The sequence below is a fragment of the Homo sapiens genome, chromosome 22 (genome assembly GCF_000001405.40).
Source record: "Homo sapiens chromosome 22, GRCh38.p14 Primary Assembly".
NCBI lineage: Eukaryota > Metazoa > Chordata > Mammalia > Primates > Hominidae > Homo > Homo sapiens.
Window position 1 is genome coordinate 47,967,712 of NC_000022.11, and position 2,891 is coordinate 47,970,602.

The window sequence follows — 2,891 nt, forward strand, 5'->3', positions numbered from 1 at the left end:
CATACATATACACATACACACATATACATACACACATAAACATATACACACATATACAAACACACACATACAGACACATACACAGACACATATGCACACATATACACACACACACATACACACACACACCTTTCATCTGATTTCACTGGTACATGGGCAAATTTATCATTATTATCGTTGGCCCCCAAGCCCATCTTTCCCTGCACTGTTAGCTGTGTTGTCACTGGCCTCTGAAATGCAGCCTTCTTCTGCTCCTGCACCTGCTGAGCTCCTATGCATCCCTTATCCACAGCGGCCATCAGTGCAGGTTCACTGTCTGCCACCTGGTGCTCGGCTAGGACCCAGTGCTGGGGAGACAAATACAAAGCACATGCCCTGCCATTCAGAGGCTCAGGGCCACTTCCTGCTGCCAGATTCCAGATCTGTCTGCCGACAACTCTCCCCTGCCTTTTCCTGCTCCACCCCAGCATTACTGGGGCCTTTTTGAGTCCCTCTTTATGGTTATCTCTACCAGGAGACCATACTCACTCATGAGATGACAGTCCATTTGACTCTGATCATGCCTCTCCAGCAGCCCCGATGGAGGAATAAGGTAGAGAAGCGGCTCTATAAATGTCCAATGGCTTGACCAAAGTTTCCGCTGGAAATCTTGTTTCTTGACTAATGAATACTCTAGTTTGAAAAATAATCCTGAAGAGCAGCTGCATATCAAAATGATGGGCAGTCATAGACAGTCAATGGATATTTGCTGCATTTAATGGAATTGGATTTCCTAAAAGCTGGACATTTCCTCTATCAAATATCCAATACATCCTGGCCATGTGCAATAGATAATACAGCATCCATCTCTAAGTGCATGCCTAAAGACAGACGTGGTTTGTAACCAATAAGGCCTCATTGGGAAAGGGGCTTTCCTGAGAGAAATGTGGATGTTTTAATTAGTTTAGTACCCTTGAAAATGATCTTACTTAACATAAAGAATAAAATAATCTGGGCCTTCAACCACCCTTAATACGTATTATTGAGGGGCTTTGCATTGCTTGCAATATTACATTTGTTTTTCCCTCTTCTTGGTAAAAAACACGGTTCTTGGCAGGAGGCACCACAGATTAGGTGATGCATTTACTTACTAGAGACAGTCCTTGAGGTCAAGCAAGGGGCAACATCGAGATCTTGGCCTCTGCTGCTTCTAATGCGCTTGCTACTTAGAGACAATTCATGAGAATGTAGATAGTTCACATTGCGCATAGGACCCTCAGATGACAGTGCTGTGAGTGAAACAGCTGGTGCTTCTCCGTTATGCTCTGCCCTGCATTCGGCCTTGGTCCTAGAAAAGCCATCCTTGCAGGTGAAGGGTAGAAACAGGTGGCTTGCAGGCCCAAGTCCCTTCCTATTTATTGAATATCTTTTATGTGTCTTATTAATTGCCAGATAAAATACAGAGTTCTCTGTTAAATTTGAATTTCAAAGAAGCAACAAATAAATTTTTAGTCTAAATAGGTCCCAAACACTGCACTTTTATTTGCTAGTTCTGGCACCTCTCATGGGTGTGATGGCTGCTTTTGGTCAATGGCCCTAGGCAGGTAATTGCATGGTGACTGAGCCCCTGATCTGGGTTTTGGGTGAACCAGTGTCCGCCAGCCCCTAAAGTCAAAAAAGTGACATAATCTCCCCAGGCGTACCCACAACACCATTGTGAGAATCAGTAGGGGTGTGAGAAGGCTTAAAATGCCTTCCTAATGCCCTGGGGTATCCACGCATTCATATAGCTGTCCGTCCACCCACCTGTTCTTCCTTCTGTCCACTCATTTATATAGCTATCTGTCCACCTACCCATTCTTCCTTCTGTCCTTCCATCTGGTTGTCCACCTCATTATCCATCCTGTTATTTCTTTCTTTCTTTTTTTTTTTTTTTGAATTTTGCTCTTGTTGCCCAGCCTGGAGTGCAATGGCACTGTCTCAGCTCACTACAACCTCCACCTCCCCGGTTCAAGCTATTCTCCTGCCTTAGCCTCCTGTGTTGCTGAGATTACAGGCTCCTGCCACACGCCCAGATAATTTTTGTATTTTTAGTAGAAATGGGGTTTCACCATGTTGACCAGGCTGGTCTCAAACTCCTGACCTCAGGTGATCCACACGCCTCGGCCTCCCAAAGTGCTGGGATTCCAGGTGTGAGCCACCATGACTGGCCCTGTTATTTCTTAATAGACACCAACTATGTGAAAGGCACTGCTCTGCAGGGGCTGAGTATCACGCAAAATGGTCATTCACTTTCTTGTGTGGAAGACACGAACGAAGTGACTCAATAGAAAACCAACAAAAGTACTGAAAAGCGGCCATCATAGGTGCTGCTGTGTCCTGCGCATCTCACTTTACTGGCTGACAACCCCCGGGTGTCCCCTTCTCTGGAGAACTGCCTTTCTCAAAGAACAGGAGCTGCCCCACCTTTCCATCCCCCGGCCTGTCAGGAGGACCTCAGCCAAAGCCCAAGGACATCGGTACAAAATGCTGGGACCCTGGCTTCCTAGAGGGATCAACCCTGCAGCACAAACTGCTCCACAGAGCTGGCCTGTAGGGCTGCACTCTCAGCCAGCTCCCCGCTATCCCCTGCTCCCTGGGCCCCCCAGGAACAGCCCTCTCCCTCAAGGCTTGGCTGGAAGGAGACTGACCAGACTGTGCTTCAGGAACAACACCTGTAACAACTTCTCGTTTCCTTAATTTTCATAGTGTCACAATTTATTTTCTCCTTCTTGTCTACCTATTGAATTAAAAAAGTAGGCAAGAGATACCTACTTTGCTTTATTTACACAAGTAAAGGCAACTGAACTCAAGGAAGTTAGGGAATTTGTGCCCAAGCCCACTGCAGGTCAGCTGAAGCCACAACGAGAATT

General features: G+C 46.3%; 1 annotated feature.

Annotated features, from left to right (window-relative positions):
* Positions 226–401: a silencer, noted in NCBI's record as "fragment chr22:48363686-48363861 (GRCh37/hg19 assembly coordinates)". NCBI's record gives its function as "represses an EF-1alpha promoter that drives an FKBP-Casp9 reporter gene in an ReSE screen in HepG2 liver carcinoma cells {active_cell/tissue: HepG2}" and the evidence as "EXISTENCE:reporter gene assay evidence [ECO:0000049][PMID:32094911]".